Genomic DNA, 17,667 nt, shown 5'->3' with positions numbered 1-17,667 from the left:
GACTGGCTTCTTTCAATCAGCGTAACATTTCCGAGGAAAGTCTGTACTATAAACCCCATGGGTTATTGTCTCAGCTAAGGGAACTGTAAGGTATGGACAGCACGTCACCTGAGAAGTGCATGATGATACCTGTTTTTAGCAGCAGCAGAGATTATAGGAAGATAAGACCACAGATTTCAGATAAAGGGCCCTTGGATCACTTTTCTGTCTTGCTCCTGAAGGTACACATGGGGCAATGGGCAGCAGCAGATACAAGATTTCAGTCTAACATGACAGAGAACTCACAGTGACTCCAATTAGGTTCACAATAGAAAGGGCGGATGACCATCTGCGAAGGATGCTTCCGGAGAGCTTATCTCCATGTTGGGTGGAAGGCTGGCTAGTGACCATGATGGCCCGTCACCCATCCAAGACTAAATTCTATGGTTCTGCCAAATTCGCATTAGTATAATTAATGGTTAAAAACAAAAAGTTAGGGCCGGGTGTGGTGGCTCACGCCTGTAATCCCAGCACTTCGGGAGGCTGAGGCGGGTGGATCACGAGGTCAGGAGATCGAGACCATCCTGGCTAACATGGTGAAAACCTGTCTCTACTAAAAAATACAACAAAAATTAGCTGGGCGTGGTGGTGGGCGCCTGTAGTCCCAACTACTGGGGAGGCTGAGGCAGGAGAATGGCGTGAACCCAGGAGGCAGAGCTTGTAGTGAGCTGAGATCACGCCACTGCACTCCAGCCTGGGCGAGAGAGAGAGACTCTGTCTCAAAAAAAAATAAAAATAAAAATAAAAATAAAAATAAAAATAAAAAAAAAGTTAGGCTGGGCGTGGTGGCTCATGCCTGTAATCCTAACACTTTGGGAGGCCAAGGCGAGAGGATCACATGCGTTCAGGAGTTCGAGACCAGCCTGAGCAACATAGGAAAACCCCGTCTCTACAAAAAATACAAAAATTAGCTGGGCATGGTGGTGCACACCTGTAATCCCAGCTACCTGGGAGGCTGAGTGGGAGGATAGATTGAGTCTGGGAGGTCAAAGCTGCGGTGAGCTGTGATTGAACCACTGAACGCCAGCCTGGGTGACAGAACAAGATTCTGTTTCAAATAATAAATAAATAATAAAAAGTTGGCTGCCAGGCACATGTCATCAAGACCCCTGAGGCTGTGTCACAGGCATAATAAAATAAAATAAAATAAAATAAAAAGTTGGCTGGGTACAGTGGCTTAGGTCTGTAATCCCAGCACTTTGGGAAGCCGAGATAAGAGGATCGCTTGAGCCCAGGAATTCAAGACTCAGCTGGAATAGAAATGAAGAAATGAATACCAGCAAAATATTTGTTTCTATCATTCCCTTGTGGGGATGTGAGACTTCAACAAGTAATAACTCTTTTTTGTTTTTTTTCTTTTTGAGACAGAGTCTCGCACTGTCACCCAGGCTGGAGTGCAGTGGCGCGATCTCGGCTCACTGCAACCTCCGCCTCCTGGATTCAAGTGATTCTCCTGCCTCAGCCTCCCGAGTAGCTGGGATTACTGGTGCACACCACAACGCCTGGCTAGTGTTTTTGTATTTTTAGTAGAGATGAGGTTTCACCATGTTGGCCAGGCTAGTCTCGAACTCCTGACCTCAGGCAATCTGCCTGCCTCAGCCTCCCAAAGTGCTGAGATTATAGGTGTAAGTCGCCACACTTGGCCCCCATTTTCTTTTCTTTTCTTTTTTTTATTTTATAAAAAACAGAGATGGGGGTCTCGCTATGTTGCCCAGGCTGGTCTTGAACTCCTGAGCTCAAGCGATCCACCCATCTTGGCCTCCCAAAGTACTAGGATTACAGGTGTGAACCACTGCATCTGGCCAGTAATAACTCTTTGAACATCAAAAAAATTCATCTAGTTGAAGCTCCAGATCAGACAGGCTCGTGCTCTCTCATTCTCTATTTATATCTATTTTGAGACAGGGTCTTGTTCTGTTGCCCAGGCTGAAGTGCAGTGGCACAGTCTCTGCTCACTGCAACCTCAGCCTCCCAGACTCAAGCGATCCTCCTGCCCCAGCCTCCCGAGTAGCTAGACTACAGGCATGGGCCACCATGCCCAGCTAATTTTGTTGTTGTTGTTGTTGTTGAGATGGAATCTCACTCTGTCTCCAAGGCTGGAGTGCAGTGGCGTGATCTTGGCTCACTGCAGCCTCCGCTGCCCGGGTTCAAGCAATTTTCCCTCAGCCTCTTGAGTAGCTGGGACTACAGAAAGGCATACGCCACCATGCCTGGCTAAGTTTTGTATTTTTAGTAGAGACGGGGTTTCACTATGTTGGCCAGGCTGGTCTCGAACTCCTGACTTCAAGTGATCTGCCCACCTCAGCCTCCCAAAGTGCTGAGATTACAGGTGTGACCCACTGTGCCCAGCCAATTTTTGTATTTTTTGTAGAGACAGGGTTTCACCAAGTTGCCCAGGCTTGTCTCGAACTCCTAGGTTCAAGCCATCTGTCCACCTCAGCCTCATAAAGTGCCATCATGGCCAGCCTCATATGTTCTTTTTTGTTTTGTTTTGTTTTTTGAGACAGAGTCTGGCTCTGTCGGCCAGGCCCGTGTTGGCACGATCTCAGCTCACTGCAACCTCCGTCTCCTGGGATCAAGCAATTCTCCTGCCTCAGCCTTCCGAGTAGCTGGGATTACAGGCGTGTGCCACCACGCCCGGCTAATTTTTGTATTTTTAATACAGATGGGGTTTCACCATGTTGGCCAGGCAGGTCTTGAACTCCTGACCTCAGGTAATCCACCTGCCTCGACCTCCCAAAGTGCTGGGATTACAGGCATGAGCCACCACACCCAGCCCTATTCTTATTTGTTACTTGGTTTTAGGATCAGGGTATGGGACTGCATCTTTCCAAATATCAACTTATTAAAAAAAAATCTTCTCAGCTGGACATGGTGGCTCACGCCTGTAATTTCAGCACTTTGGGAGGCTGAGGTGGGCGGACTGCCTGAGGTCAGGAGTTCGAGACCAGTCTGGCCAACATGGTGAAACTCTGTCTCTACTAAAAATACAAAAAAGTTAGCCTGACGTGGTGGTGTGCACCAGTAATCTCAGCTACTTGGGAGGCTAAGGCAGGGGAATTGCTTAAACCAGGGAGGTGGAGGTTGCAGTGAGCCGAGATTGCACCACCGCACTCCAGCCTGGGTGACAGAGTGAGAATCCGTCACACACACACAAAAAAATCTTCTCAAGGACAGGCATGGTGGCTCACACCTGTAATCCCAGCACTTTGGGAGGCTGAGGCAGGTGGATCACTTGAGGCCAGGAGTTGGATACCAGCCTGGCCAAAATGGCGCAACCCAGTCTCTACTGAAAATATAAAAATTAGCAGGGCATGGTGGCGCAGGCCTGTAATCCCAGCTACACCAGAGGCTGAGGCAAAGAATTGCTTGAACCGGGGAGGTAGAGGTTTCAGTGAGCTGAGATCACGCCACTGCACTCCAGCCTGGGTGACAGAGGAAGACTCTGTCTCAAAAAAAAAAAAAAGTATTCTAGTTGACTTGATAATTATGACTTTGAGCCAGGGACCGATTATGCAACAATATAACACAATTAGTTTAATATATGAATTTAATCCAATCTGTGAAAAGCATTTTTCTTTTCCTAAAGGGCCATTATATTATAGCGAATAATGTCTATCTCTTGGAAAGGAGCTTTCTTCTGTAGACTGTCTTATCTAAGTCTGGCTCTTTTGATAAACATCCACAAATGGCCAAACATTTAAAAAGTATAGAGTTCAACAGTCTGTCTGATTAAGCAATACCAACTTGACATTACTGATCTCCATTCAATAATTTCAAGTCAATAGGGATTGCCTCATGTGCACTGCTCGGGTCAGGGAGAGAAATGGGGGAGGGCGGATTCTTGTTCTTTGACAGGGTAAACTGGATAATCTTGAAACCTATACTTTGGGAGCAAAATATGTGGTTCTAAATTATCTCTCCTCCTCTTTCTCAAGTTTCCCCAAAAGAACTTGAGAATTCTCTTCATGTTCCTGAAAAAAACTGTGTTAAGGAGGAGAGGAGCAGGAATCAGAAGATGGTTCCAATTCCTTCTCTGGTCCAATTTCCTTGCGATCAAATGATCTTTGAGGTTGTTCCATTGTCTTTTTGAACCATTGTTCCTTCCCTAGTAAAATGGAGTGAAAATCATTTTACTGACTTGCTTACTTAACAAATTTTTGTGGGGCTCAAAAGAGATGGTGTGGATGCCAGTCTCTAAATGAGCAAACTGCAGCTCATCTAGAACCTCACCTGCAATAAACACCAGCCCCTTACAAGAGCCCCAAAGCCTCAGCTGGAGAGACAACTGTTTACACAGAATACAGCTTGCTTTCTTCCTCTAATTGGCTGCCTGAGTTCTAACCTATGTTTTAAATTTGTTTTAAGACACAGATTGTATTTGGTCACATGAAAATGCCTTAAATAGGCAATCTATAATTAGCTCTGGCTGAGTCTCATCTCCCAAAGTCACTACTGTTGTCGTCATCTTTTTTCTTTCTTCTTTAATGAACTCTTCCCTTTTTTTGTCCCAGAACAAGCTTCTCGCTTACATGCCCTTTACAAAGAAAATTTCCCTGGCTGGCTGCCAACGGTTTCTCTGCCCACTTCCATTTTAAGCAATTTTTATGAGTGTCCCATCTCTTCTCAAACAAAGGCAGATGGCAAAACTTGCTGGTTTACTTTTAAAGAAAACTTGACCCAGACTGTTATAAGCTAAGAAGAGGCTTTGTGAAGTCACATGGCCTGGGTTTACCCATCACCCCCTGATAAGCACTCACAGCTGATTCCCGTGCAAACCCCAGCATCTCACACTGGTTTCATATGGGCCATAGGAAGCACCTTCCAAAGTTTGATGTGTTCTTCAACATCTATTCCCATGGCAGATGACCCATTTTGACCCAAAGGGCCCCACAGTTCTCTTTCGGCTCCTGCTAGTTCTGCAAAGCCTCAGCACTGCTTTTTCTGTAGGCAGTTAATACTAATGCTAATTCAACAGGAAGTGGTATGGGGGTACAAGAGGCAGGATGTCTTCCTGTTGCCCAGTTATTTACAAAAAGGCAGATCTTCTCTCCAAGACTTCAAACGTTCCCCACAGGACTAACTTGTGCTCCTTTACAGGTAATGAGCTAATAAATTATTTCTGATCTCAAAGCTGTATAACAACTGAATTTGTTCAAAAGCCAAAAAAGTAGTAGAAATACAGTCTATACTGCCTGGTGCAGTTGCTCGCGCCTGTAATCCCTGAACTTTGGGAGGCCGAGGTGGGTAGATCACTTGAGGTCAAGAGTTCGAGACCAGCCTGGCCAACATGGTGAAATCCCTTGTCTCCTAATAGTACAAAAATTAGCCGGGCCATGGTGGCGGGCGCCTGTAATCCCAGCTACTCAGGAAGCTGAGGCAGGAGAACTGCTTGAACCCAGGAGGCAGAGGTTTCAGTGAAATCACACCATCGCACTCCAGCCTGGGCGACAGAGCGGACTGCTTCTCAAAAAAAAATAAAATAGATAAATAGGCCAGGCGCGGTAGCTCACGCCTGTAATCCCAGTGCTTTGGGGGGCCAAGGCGGGCAGATCATCTGAGGTCAGGAGTTTGAGACCAGCCTGGCCAACATGGTGAAACCCCATTTCTACTAAAAATACAAAAAAAAAAAAAAAATTAGCAGGGCGTGGTGGTGCGTGCCTGTAGTCCCAGGGAGGCTGAGCCAGGAGAATCACTTGAACCCAGGAGGCAAAGGTTGCAGTGAGCTGAGATCATTCCATTGCACTCCTGCTTGGGCAACAAAAGTGCAACTCCATCTCAGAAAAGTAATAATAATAATAGATAAATAAATGAAATACACTCTATACTAAACCCACACACCAAAAGAATAAAGAAATGCTTCCTATCATAGAACTTAGATCTGTCATGGAGTCAAAGATTTTAGAGTCAAAGTGACCCCAAGGGGCTAGGCTCTCTTTGGTTAATAAAAGTTTTCTTTCAAAACCAGAAAGAAAAATGATCACTTTCTCCTTATTTGCCCCGAGAAATTCACCACTAAAAAAACAGATTAGGATCAATATCAGATGTGCCTTGAATCTCGAGAACATTGTGACTCTAGTTGATGCACAAAGCATGGGGCAGACATTTAACATGCTCCCGCAGCCAGACGTTCTCAATGTGCCTGGCAGCAATGCCAAGTGGGTAGGTTCACAAAAGCAGAAACAGAAACCCTCTGGGTTTAGCCTTCCTATTTTTTCTTTTCTTTCTTTCTTTTTTTTTTTTTTTTTTTTTTTGAGATGGAGTTTCACTCTTGTTGCCCAGGCTGGAGTGCAATGGTGCAATCTCAGCTCACCGCAATCTCCGCCTCCCGGGTTCAAGCGATTCTCCTGCCTCAGCCTCCCGAGTACTGGAATTACAGGCATGCGCCACCACTCCCCGTTAATTTTGTATTTTTAGTAGAGACGGGTTTTCTCCAAATTGGTCAGGCTGGTCTCAAACTCCTGACCTCAGGTGATCCACCCGGCTTGGCCTCCCAAAGTGCTGGGATTACAGGCGTAAGCCACTGTGCCCGGCCAGCCATTCTACCTTTTCAAGTGAGTATTCATCAGATACATACAGGAAAATCTCCAGTTCACAACACTATTTTGTGTAAAACTGACTGGAAACATTACAAAACAAAACAAAACAAAAAAAACCTGTCTCTAGCCGGGTGCGGTGGCTCACGCCTGTAATCCCAACACTTTGGGAGGCCGAGGCAGGTGGATCACCTGAGGTCAGGAGCCCGAGACCAACCTGGCCAACATGGTGGAAGCCTATCTCTACTAAAAATACAAAAATTAGCTGGGTGGCCGGGCGCGGTGGCTCATGCCTGTAATCCCAGCACTTTGGGAGGCTGAGGCGGGCGGATCACAAGGTCAGGAGATCAAGACCATCCTGGCTAACACGGTGAAACCCCATCTCTCTTAAAAATTCAAACAAAAAAAAAATTAGCTGGGCATGGTGGCGGGCACCTGTAGTCCCAGCTACTAGGGAGGCTGAGGCAGGAGAATGGCGTGAACCCCGGAGGCGGAGCTTGCAGTGAGCCAAGATCGCACCACTGCACTCGAGCCTGGGTGACAGAGTGAGACTGTCTCAAAAAAAAAAAAAAAAAAAAAAAAAATTAGCTGGGTGTGGTGGCACATGCCTGTAATCCCAGCTACTAGGGAGGCTGAGGCAGGAGAATGGCGTGAACCCGGGAGGCGGAGCTTGCAGTGAGCCAAGATCGCACCACTGCACTCGAGCCTGGGTGACAGAGTGAGACTCTCTCAAAAAAAAAAAAAAAAAAATTAGCTGGGTGTGGTGGCACATGCCTGTAATCCCAGCTACTGGGGAGGCTGAGGCGGGAGAATCTCTTGAACCCAGGAGGCGGAGGCTGCAGTGAGCCAAGATTGCACCAATGCACTCCAGCCTGGGAGACAGAACCAGACTCCGTCTCAAAACAAACAAACAAAAAAAACTTGTCTCTAAATCTCCTGGACTTAACCATTCTATCTTGCGTAGTGTTACTCTTGGTCCTCCTAGGCTGATCCTAATAGTTAGCGCTAAATACCTTGGATGTTGATCCAAGAATCTTGAACATGAGTTAACAACACCTATGTACACCCACCCAACAAATTGGTTTAATTCATTGGCGGTTTACCAGATTCTTTTCATACTTGGCTACGAGATTCTCTAATTGTCATGTGTACAAATGGACCAAACTAACTCAGCAGTGAAACAGGTTCTTAGGTAAAGTACTCAGGAGTCCTATTCCAGGCTGTAAATCAGGCTAAGCTACAGTAAATGAAATACTTGGGAAAATGGCAGCTACACCCGCCAAGTCAGACTGAAGGGGGAAGAGACAGAAGGGAAAGAAACAGCCTCTGCTCTGAGGTTCTCATACAGAAAGGCCAGCACTTCTCTTCCTGGCAGGCCCAGGGATGACCATTTCTCTGCGCCCCTATGCCCACACCTCGGCCAAGAGCCCACAATAGTAACAATCTCGCTTTGACTTTTAGAAAAAAAATTTCCCCCGGATTCTTTCACTCCGTCCACACTCCAACCCCGCGGGGATCACGATCCCATTTTCTGGATAAACAGGGCAATGGAGATGAGCCTAAACCATGAGAACTGTCAGTCTTCGCCGCCAACGTCCACACGGATCAGCCTGAAACCCCAATACCAATTTTTTTTTCAACTCCCACATGTTCCTGAGAGGAACCAGATCAGGGCCCACGGCTGGCATGGAAACGAGAGGGAAAGGAGGGGGTGCTGCTGGGGACTGATGGATGAACCCATCCTTGGGTGAAGGGAGCGTCCAGCTTGGCCTTGAGGTCAGGAGGTGACAAAGGCACACTCCTGAGACCTGGCCTTCTACTCTGGGCAAGAAAGGGCTTTTCGCCCATCAGAAAGCCCATAGGATGCCCACCTGTGTCCACGAAGAACCCGGCTCAAGCACCCAAAGAAGTCAGGAAGGAGCCCCGCTCCCACCAGGGCATAAGTGGGGTGTCCCTCAGTGAGTCAGGGGGCACCCTTCCTCTGGACAGTGGGGGTTCCGCCCAGCCCAAGGGGCCGTCCCCCGAGACCTGTCACCCGGCCCTCGAGGGGCTCCCTCCCCGCCAGTGCTGAGGACGCGCGCAGCCTACCTGGAGCTCGCCCTCGGTGCGGTGCAGTCCCAGGCGCCGCAGCCCCACCGCCAGGTCGTTGACACACAGGCCGCCGTCCCGGTTGACGTCGAGCGTCTGAAAGAGTCTCCACAGGCGCAGCCGGTGGTCCGGGCCCCCGCAGATAGCGCCGCCGCAGGGGTCCCCCACGGACGCCGGCGATGAGGCAGACGAAGAGGCGGCGGTGGCGGCGGCGTCCGGCGGCGGGGAGGCCACACAGCGGCACAACACACTGCTCACCATCGGGCGCGAGGCAGGGGCTCCGGGCGCGGGCGGGAGCGGGGGCGGCGGGCCGGCGGTGACCGCGCGGGAGGCAAGCCAGGCGCTCTGCAGCTGGGAGCGCGGGCTCGGAGACGCCGGCAAGCTGGCGGAAGGGGCGGCTTCCGGGAGCCCCGCCCCTCCGCGCCCCGCTTCGCCGGCCACGCCCGGGCGCACCGAAGGCCAGTCACAGGCTCGGATGGGGAGGAGGGAGGGGCGGAGCCTGTCTAAGGACAGCCCACGCGCCACGGACTACCCGGATCAATGGGGTGGGCGGGGTCACCCGGCTCCGCCTGGGGCCGATTCAAACTGAGGGAGGCGGGGATTGGCTGAGCCGGGGGCCAAGAGAGAGAAAATCACGCAGCGATAGGCATGAGTAATGTGATTGGCAGGCGGAAGGCCCCGTGTCCAGTTTCCATTGATGAACTAACTCTGTTTAGACTGCGGGATCTTAAGGATGGGAGGAGCGGTAGTGTACGGAGAGATCGTAGCCTCCAGTGGGAAACAGGATTTGTGTGAGAGCATTTGTGAACTGCAGTTGCGAGGCAGAGTTTGTGCCGGTGGGAGGAATTAAAAGTTAATTGACCCATGGGTCACGGCCGAAAGCACTAAGTATCCTCAGGAAGCAGGGTTTTGGTAATCTAACTCCCTAAACCACCAATAAAATAGCTGAATTTAACGGCTTAATAGTCGTAATACTGACAATTGAACGACAGAATGATTTTCCAATGGAAGTGAATAAAGGTTAGGTGGGCGGGGCCCTCTGGGCGACGGACACAATTTTAGACCAATGATCAGGCGAATTACAGTAAGCAGGCGTGCTCTTTAGCTGAGCGACAGATCGAAAGAACCAGTGATCGACGTGATATTTGAGCAGCTACCAACCGGGAAGGCCGGTTTTCCCGGAGAAGCGCTGGGAGGCGGGAAGAGGGGAAGTGGGCGGATCTCCGCACACCTCGGCGGAAGAGGCAGATTCAGGAAGCCATTACGCTGCTGGCTGGCAGCGGCCGGGCCGGTCGGGGCTGGGCCCTACGCACTTTGCGTAGCGAGGGGGGTTACCAAAGGCCTAGTGCTTGGCCTCGAGCAAGCCTGGCCTATCCCCTGTAGGGGGTGGGTGAGGGGCGAGGCTGAGGAAGAAGAGAAGGGGAATTGGGGCGCTTGAGGGGATTATAATTTCTTTAAAAAGAGGGGAGGGGAGAGGCCATGGCCGTCCCAGCCAAGAAAAGGAAGATGAACTTCTCAGAGCGGGAGGTGGAGATCATCGTGGAGGAGCTGGAGCTGAAGAAGCACCTGCTGGTGAACCACTTCAACGCCGGGGTACCCCTGGCCGCCAAGAGTGCGGCCTGGCACGGCATCCTGAGAAGGGTCAACGCCGTGGCCACCTGCCGCAGAGAGCTGCCTGAGGTCAAGAAGAAGTGGTCTGACCTCAAGACCGAGGTCCGTCGCAAGGTTGCCCAGGTCCGGGCCGCCGTGGAGGGTGGTGAGGCGCCGGGGCCCACTGAGGAGGACGGAGCTGGGGGGCCTGGGACAGGCGGTGGCAGTGGTGGCGGTGGCCCAGCTGTAGCCCCAGTGCTGCTGACCCCCATGCAACAACGTATCTGCAACCTGCTGGGCGAGGCCACCATCATCAGCCTGCCCAGCACCACAGAGATCCACCCTGTGGCCCTCGGACCCTCGGCCACCGCAGCCGCAGCCACGGTCACCCTGACACAGAGTGAGTGACCTCTCCTGCCCAGGCGGCGTGCATAAGTGGGAAGGGCCAGCAAGCTCTGGGGTGGCCTGGGGAAGGTTGGCTGCCAAGGGTCAGAGGTCAGATGGGGGTCTTGGAAGACCATGAGGCCTTCCAAGAGCAGCACCCAGACAGAAGTGATCTTGCTCTCTTTGGGACTTCCTCAGCACGTGGGCTGGACTTCTGACGTGCTGGATAGCTCGCCACTGAGCATTGCCACCATGTTTGTCCATGACTTACCTCCACTTGCCGAACTGGGTGGTCCTTGAAAACAAGAGACCGTGTCTGTATCCCCACAGGACTTTTCACAGGGCCCGGCTTGTAGTAGACAGCCAGGCCATATTTGTTGAAAAAATTGATGGGAATAATACTGCCCAAGTGAGACAACGATTCTGGATTCTGTTTTCAGTGTGGGGGATCTTTCATCAGGTGCTGCTCAGGAGCCTCATGGTTCCTGGTGTTAATCTACTCCATTCATTCATTCATTCATTCATCAAACATTAGCACTTATTCTGTACCAAACCCTGTGCTGGGCACTGGGATTACCAAGTTGTCTAAAATACAGGCCAGTTATGTTCTAGTAGGACAGAGATGACACATATAGGAATAGCTTCGCCATCAGTTGGGAAAACCTCAGGCCCCGGAAGAGGAAGGGGGCTTCTTGGTGGCATAAGGACACATAGCTGACATTGGCGTTGAAGGGTGGAGGAGCTTGACCTCTCCCACATGCGCGGAGGCCCATACAGCCCAGCCAGGATCCTTTCCGTGGTTCTCAGGAATGACAACAGAACTAACTTTGGTTGGATTTTTTAGTTCAAAGAAGAGTTTGTGCCCTGTTACCTCTGCTCGTTTGTGATGACCGTGAGCTGGATCATTCAGTGATTCTCAGTGGGGGTTGGGGGAGTTGGGTGGATGTGCGAGTGCCATCCCCTCACAATGCGTATTTCTCAAGAATACACTGGGGTGGGGTAAGGGGGACAAACACGGGTCTAGGTCAGATGCTGTTCTGGAACAGGAAGGATGTTTAAGTATCGGATTGACCCAGATGATGACAGACAGGGAGACATTGACTGGGTACTTTAGCTACTGCTGCCCCATTCCCACCTCCTTTTCTGCTTCGCCATAGGGGCCTAGGAAGTCAAGTCAAGAAAGCATCAAAGGGCTGGCATGGTGGCTCACTCCTGTAATCCCAGCACTTTGGGAGGCTGAGGTGGGCAGATCAGTGGAGGTCAGGAGTTCGAGACAAGCCTGGCCAATATGGTGAAACCCTGTCTCTACTAAAAATACAAAAATTACCCAGGCTTGGAGGTGGGCGACTGTAGTCCCAGCTACTCGGGAGGCTGAGGCACAACAATCACTTGAACCTGGGAGGCAGAAGTTGCAGTGAGCCGAGATCGTGCCACTGAACTCCAACCTGGGTAACAGGGCAAAAGAGCAAAACTCCGTCTCAAAAAAAAAAAAAAAAGCAGAAAGCATCAAAGGAGGTAGGACTAATGTGGCTGCAAAGAGCGTGTGTAGAGTCCCACCCAAGATGCCTGCTGCATGGTACCACAGAGAGCATGTGACCCAGCCTCTGGGGTGCCTTTCTTTCTTTCTTTCTTTTATGAGATGGAGTTTTGCTCTTGTTGCCCAGGCTGGAGTGCAATGGCATGATCTCGGCTCACTGCTGCCTCAGCCTCCCAAGTAGCTGGGATTACAGGCATGCGCCACCATGCCCGGCTAATTTTGTATTTTTAATAGAGACGAGGTTTCTCCATGTTGGTCAGGCTGGTCTCGAACTCCTGACCTCAGGTAATCCACCCACCTCGGCCTCCCAAAGTGCTGGGATTACAAGCGTGAGCCACCGCGCCCGGCCGGGGGTGCCTTTCTTAGCTAGGAGCAGCCCAGCGTGGAGGTCAGGAGCACATCGGGCTCTGCTGTTGGGGAGACCTGGGTTTGCCTCTTGGCTCTGCTGAATGAGCTCTGTGACCTTAGCAAGTCATTCTACATTTCTCAGTCTGTTTCCTCATCTCTGAAAAATGAAGATGACAGCACCAACCTCTTGGTGTCATTTTGAGGATTTGTTGAGCTAATGAGTACAAAGTGCCTGACATGTAGTAGTTGCTCTAAAAGTTTTGCTAGTATTATGATCAACATCTTTGCTTTTGCCAGATCCAGGGCTGGCCCTTTGATTACCAAGTAGATTAAGATTCTGAACCCCGGCCAGGCGCGGTGGCTCACGCCTGTAATCCCAGCACTTTGGGAGGCCGAGGCGGGCGGATCACGAGGTCAGGAGATCGAGACCACGGTGAAACCCCGTCTCTACTAAAAATACAAAAAATTAGCCGGGCGCAGTGGCGGGCGCCTGTAGTCCCAGCTACTCGGGAGGCTGAGGCAGGAGAATGGCGTGAACCCGGAAGGCGGAGCTTGCAGTGAGCGGAGATCGCGCCACAGCACTCCCGCCTGGGCGACAGAACGAGACTCCGTCTCAAAAAAAAAAAAAAAAAAAAAAAAAAAATTCTGAACCCCTTAGATTCTAGATTTATATGTGAATAGCTATGCAGCCAGGGGAGGCCTGGATTCCCCTTTATGTCCCTCCAGGACAGGACTTTATGGCCTCCTCCCCACCCCATACAGCCAGCTTTATTCCTTCCAGAAAGTGACCTCCCTTGGCCTCTGTTCTTTCTACTGTGCAGTCCCCACAGAGACCACCTATCACACGCTGGAGGAGGGCGTGGTGGAGTACTGCACGGCTGAGGCGCCCCCACCTCTGCCACCAGAGACCCCTGTGGACATGATGGCCCAGCATGCAGACACGTCGGTCAAGCCGCAAGCGCTCAAGAGCCGCATTGCTCTCAACTCCGCCAAGCTGATACAGGAGCAGCGGGTCACCAACCTGCATGTGAAGGAGATCGCACAGCACCTGGAACAGCAGAACGACCTACTGCAGATGATCCGCCGCTCCCAGGAAGTGCAGGCCTGTGCCCAGGAGCGCCAGGCCCAGGCCATGGAGGGCACACAGGCTGCCCTGAGCGTCCTCATCCAGGTCCTCCGGCCTATGATCAAAGATTTCCGCCGCTACCTGCAGAGCAACACAGCTAACCCGGCCCCCGCCTCTGACCCTGGGCAGGTGGCCCAGAATGGGCAGCCAGACAGCATCATCCAGTGAGGGCAGGGGTCAGGCCAGCCTTCTGCCATGATGGGATGAAAACTCCATGGACTTGTAAGTGGGTCCTGTGATTGGCCTTGGCCTTAGACCGGCCACGTGCACAGCTCCCTCTTTAATAAACGCTTAGGGGTTGCACTGTTTTTGAGAAGAGGAATTTGTTGGGCTCCTGGGACCCAAACTCATACTCCCCCTACTTGAGCTGCCTTGCTAAGATCCAGAAGATTGGTTAGCAGGGGGTCACGTGTGCATGTGATGGGACATGTGTTGTCATGACCCCGGGCTTGTGACATGACCCAGCCTTGGTCTTGGACAACTGTAAGGAACAACACAACGGGCTGTCACTGGGGGCCGTCACCCAGCCTGGGTCTCTACTGAGCTGCCCAACCCCAGGTGCCATCCTTTCGAGTAGGGTAATGTCACTGATGCTGGCAGTTGAGCAATAATATCTTCCTCCTTTGGGAGGTAGTGTGACTGAGGAGGAAACCCCACCCTTTTCTCCTCACTGTGCCTCAGTTCTCAGGGGACTCCAATGACTGTTGTGCTCTCCCCCGACCCCACCCCAGGCACAGCGCAGGCCCTTGTTAGGTAGTGTGCTGGGACGCCTCCGTAATACATGCAGTGTGCAGCCAGTCTGGCTCAGGAATGCTGTGTATGGTGGGGACGGTTTGGCCACTCTCTGGTTTTCAACAGCATCTCTGGGCAGCCCTTTGGTGGTTTGTCCCTAGAGCTTTTGACTCAGGTCAAGCTTTGGATGCTGTAAATTTTTGAGAAAGCCAACTAGTGTGGAAGCTTGCTGCCCCACTGCAGTGGGTCTGAGTGACCTGTTGGCTTTGTGCGGAGGCTTGCATCCAGCCAGTTGTATTTATTCTGTGTGTGAACCCCTCCTAGGAAGGCCTCCAGGAAGGCTGCCCTGTGGCCACACCCATCCTCCTTTCCTCTCTGCTGACTCCACATTTCCAAAATTCAGTGCAAAAAAAGCCCTGCTGAGCATCACATGCTGGACTCTTCCCCTGCCACACCGCTCAGTGCCTTCTGTTCTCTTGAGACTCCCTCTGAGTAGCTGAGTGAATCCAAAGCCATAATTGACCCTGAACGTAGGAGGAGGAAAAGGCGAAGCTGACCTAAGAAGTGGGACCCTGGCCGGGCGAGGTGGCTCAAGTCTGTAATCCCAGCGCTTTGGGAGGCCGAGGCGGGTGGATCACGAGGTCAAGAGATCAAGACCATCCTGGCCAACATGATGAAACCCCGTCTCTACTAAAAACACAAAAATTAGCTGGGCGTGGTGGCACACGCCTGTAGTCCCAGCTACCCGGGAGGCTGAGGCAGGAGAATCGCTTGAACCCAGGAGGCGGAGATTGCAGTGAGCCGAGATTGCACCGCTGCACTCCAGCCTGGCGACAGAGCGAGACTCTGTCTCAAAAAAAAAACAAAGAAAAAACCAAAAAAACAAATGGGACCCTTTGGATTCTATGCTCAGGGAAGAGCAGGCAGAGCCTTGGAGTGCTGAAGGAGGTGCTGTTCCCTGTTCCATCTTTACACTTTCTCTTCTGAGATGTCTGTAAGGATTTTACCCAGATGCCATTTGTCTGTTTCATTTTCAGACTCACCATCAATTACCAAGGCCCTTGCATCTCCCCAGATCGTTTCCCAAGTTTGGCGATTTGCTGTCGGTGCCTCAGCCACATATGACCAATGGTTACAACTCAGGGCTCCAGACCTCAGCTAAAAAGAGAAGACGCTGCCCTCCTGGGCACGAACGTTTAGAATGCTCAACTCCTCTATTGTGACCACAGGAAGGTGGCCCTGAAGATGCACCGAAGACAGCTGGGAGGTGACTGCTGTACTGTCAGCCTCTCTGTGGAGGCATTCGTGCAGTGCCAGCTAAAAGGGAGGTGAAGGGGGATATCGGACCCAGCGAGGGAGTTGCTGGTAGAAGGAAAGCTCTTCTCAGTGTGGCTGGATTAAGAGCAGCCTAGCAGCTTGGGCACCTCCACTCTGTGCGGTCTGATGGCCCCAGCAAGGTCGCTGCAGGGACTTCCTGAGGACTTGGTTTGGTTTTTTTCTGGGGTTGGAAATCTGAGCCAATATTGTGTCTGTTCCATTTGGGTATGAAGAGGAAGTCTGGATCACTTAAACTGACTAGTTATTTCCGGGTCATAATTTTAAATTAAAGACATATCACTTTTTTATACACACATCTCTGTGTCTTTATTGCTTATATATAGAAGAGAACCAGGGACTGGCAGACGATGGCCCACAAACTCAAATCAGGCTCACCACCTATTTTTATAAATAAAATTGTATTGGAACACAGCCACACCCATTCATTTATGAACCTGTGGCTTTTTTTTTTTTTTTTTTTGTACCACCAAAGCAAGAGTTGAGTAGTTACAGAGACATCTGGCCCACAAAGCCAAAAGTGTTTACTCTCTGACCCATTTACAGTAGAAGTCAGTCTATTCCTGGTTTAAGGCAGTGTTTGGGACTCTTAAGAATTACCTGAGGCAGGCCAGGCACTGTGGCTCATGCCTGTAATCCCAGCACTTTGGGAGGCCGAGGTGGGCAGATCACGAGGTCAGGAGTTCGAGACCAGCCTGACCAACATGGTGAAACCCCGTCTCTACTAAAAATACACAAATTAGCCGGGCGTGGTGGCATGCACCTGTAATCCCAGCTACTCAGGAGGCTGAGGCAGGAGAATCACTTGAACCCGGGAGACAGTGGTTGCAGTGAGCCAAGATCATGCCATTGCACTCCAGCCCAGGTGACAGAGCAAGACTCCGTCTCAAAAAAAAAAAAACAAAAGAAAAAAAAAAAGAATTACCTGAGGCATTTCTTAAATATACCCAATCGCAGGCCTCACTCAAAACCTGGAGGGAGGACTCTATGCATTGTAAACAAGCCCTCAGTACAAGCCCTCAGTAATCCTGATACTTTCTGAAGGTTAAGAATTTTTTTTTTTTTAAAGACTGGATCTGGCCAGGTGTGGTGGCTCATCTCTGTAATCCCAGCATTTTGGGAGGCCGAGGCAGGTGGATCACGAGGTCAGGAGTTTGAGACAAGCCTGGCCAACATGGTGAAACTCCGTCTGTACTAAAAATACAAAAAATTAGTTGGGTGTGGTGGCGGGCACCTGTAATCCCAGCTACTTGGGAGGCTGAGGCAGGAGAATCGCTTGAACCCGGGAGGCTGAGGTTGCAGTGAGCCGAGATCACGCCATTGCACTCCAGCCTGGGCAACAAGAAACTCTGTCTCAAAAAAAAAAGACAGGGTCTTGGCCAGTTGGCGGTGGCTCATGTCTGTAATCCCAGCACTTTGGGAGGCCAAGGTGAGTGGATCACCTGAGGTCAGAAGTTTGAGACCAGCCTGACCAACATGTAGAAACTCTGTCTCTACTAAAAATGCAAAAATTAGCTGGGCATGGTGCCACATGCCTGTAATCCCAGCTATTGGGGAAGCTAAGGCAGGAGAATTGCTTGAACCCGGGAGGCTGAGATCGCACCACTGCACTCCAGCCTGGGCAACAAGAGTGAAACTCTTATCTCAAAAACAAAAAAAACCATGGTCTCACTCTGTCACCTAGGCTGGAGTGCAGTGGCAGGATCACAGCTCACTGTAGCCTTGACCTCCTGGGCTCAACTGATCCTCCCACTTCAGCCTCTCGAGTAGCTGGGACTACAGGCATGCGCCACCACACTCAGCTAATTTGTTTTTTTTTTTTTTTTTTGGTAGAGATGGGGTTTCACCATGTTGCCCAAGCTGGTCTCCAACTCTTGGGCTCAAGTGTTCCTCCTGCCTCTGCCTGCCAAAGTGTTGGGATTACAGCCATGAGCCACTACTCCAGGCCGGTT

General features: G+C 50.9%; 2 protein-coding genes across 4 annotated transcripts in view, besides 5 other annotated features; one reads left to right on the top strand and one right to left on the bottom strand.

Moving 5' to 3' along the window:
* SLC25A25 (solute carrier family 25 member 25) overlaps positions 1–9,012 on the bottom strand; it is a 41,014-nt gene extending 32,002 nt beyond the window's left edge. For both annotated transcript variants that reach the window (NM_001330988.2, NM_001006641.4), the window contains exon 1: positions 8,664–9,012. In NM_001330988.2, the coding sequence (NP_001317917.1) occupies positions 8,664–8,924 (261 nt within the window). In that variant the 5' untranslated portion in view covers positions 8,925–9,012. The remainder of the gene's footprint in view (positions 1–8,663) is intronic.
* Positions 2,732–3,232: an enhancer, noted in NCBI's record as "H3K27ac hESC enhancer chr9:130836291-130836791 (GRCh37/hg19 assembly coordinates)". NCBI's record gives its function as "activates a minimal SCP1, AML or CMV promoter by ChIP-STARR-seq in primed H9 embryonic stem cells {active_cell/tissue: H9 hESC(primed)}" and the evidence as "EXISTENCE:reporter gene assay evidence [ECO:0000049][PMID:30033119]".
* Positions 3,233–3,733: an enhancer, noted in NCBI's record as "H3K27ac hESC enhancer chr9:130835790-130836290 (GRCh37/hg19 assembly coordinates)". NCBI's record gives its function as "activates a minimal SCP1, AML or CMV promoter by ChIP-STARR-seq in primed H9 embryonic stem cells {active_cell/tissue: H9 hESC(primed)}" and the evidence as "EXISTENCE:reporter gene assay evidence [ECO:0000049][PMID:30033119]".
* Positions 7,906–7,985: an enhancer, noted in NCBI's record as "active region_29070". NCBI's record gives its function as "activates an Ori minimal core promoter by ATAC-STARR-seq in GM12878 lymphoblastoid cells {active_cell/tissue: GM12878}" and the evidence as "EXISTENCE:reporter gene assay evidence [ECO:0000049][PMID:35858748]".
* Positions 8,716–9,285: a silencer, noted in NCBI's record as "silent region_20323". NCBI's record gives its function as "represses an Ori minimal core promoter by ATAC-STARR-seq in GM12878 lymphoblastoid cells {active_cell/tissue: GM12878}" and the evidence as "EXISTENCE:reporter gene assay evidence [ECO:0000049][PMID:35858748]".
* Positions 9,736–10,065: an enhancer, noted in NCBI's record as "active region_29069". NCBI's record gives its function as "activates an Ori minimal core promoter by ATAC-STARR-seq in GM12878 lymphoblastoid cells {active_cell/tissue: GM12878}" and the evidence as "EXISTENCE:reporter gene assay evidence [ECO:0000049][PMID:35858748]".
* NAIF1 (nuclear apoptosis inducing factor 1) lies at positions 9,924–16,011 on the top strand. Of its 2 annotated transcripts, XM_047422940.1 has the most exons (3): positions 9,924–10,653; positions 13,344–13,870; positions 15,418–16,011. In XM_047422940.1, the coding sequence occupies exons 1-2, from the start codon at positions 10,143–10,145 to the stop codon at positions 13,814–13,816; spliced, it is 984 nt and encodes a 327-aa protein (XP_047278896.1). In that variant the 5' UTR covers positions 9,924–10,142; the 3' UTR covers positions 13,817–13,870; positions 15,418–16,011. The 2 variants fall into 2 exon arrangements, with proteins under 2 accessions (XP_047278896.1, NP_931045.1); NM_197956.4 differs by having other exon boundaries at positions 13,344–16,011.
* Positions 16,012–17,667: the final 1,656 nt, after the last annotated feature.

The sequence above is a fragment of the Homo sapiens genome, chromosome 9 (assembly GCF_000001405.40).
Source record: "Homo sapiens chromosome 9, GRCh38.p14 Primary Assembly".
NCBI lineage: Eukaryota > Metazoa > Chordata > Mammalia > Primates > Hominidae > Homo > Homo sapiens.
Note: the sequence above shows the minus strand (reverse complement) of the source record. Positions and strands in the feature narration are given on the sequence as shown.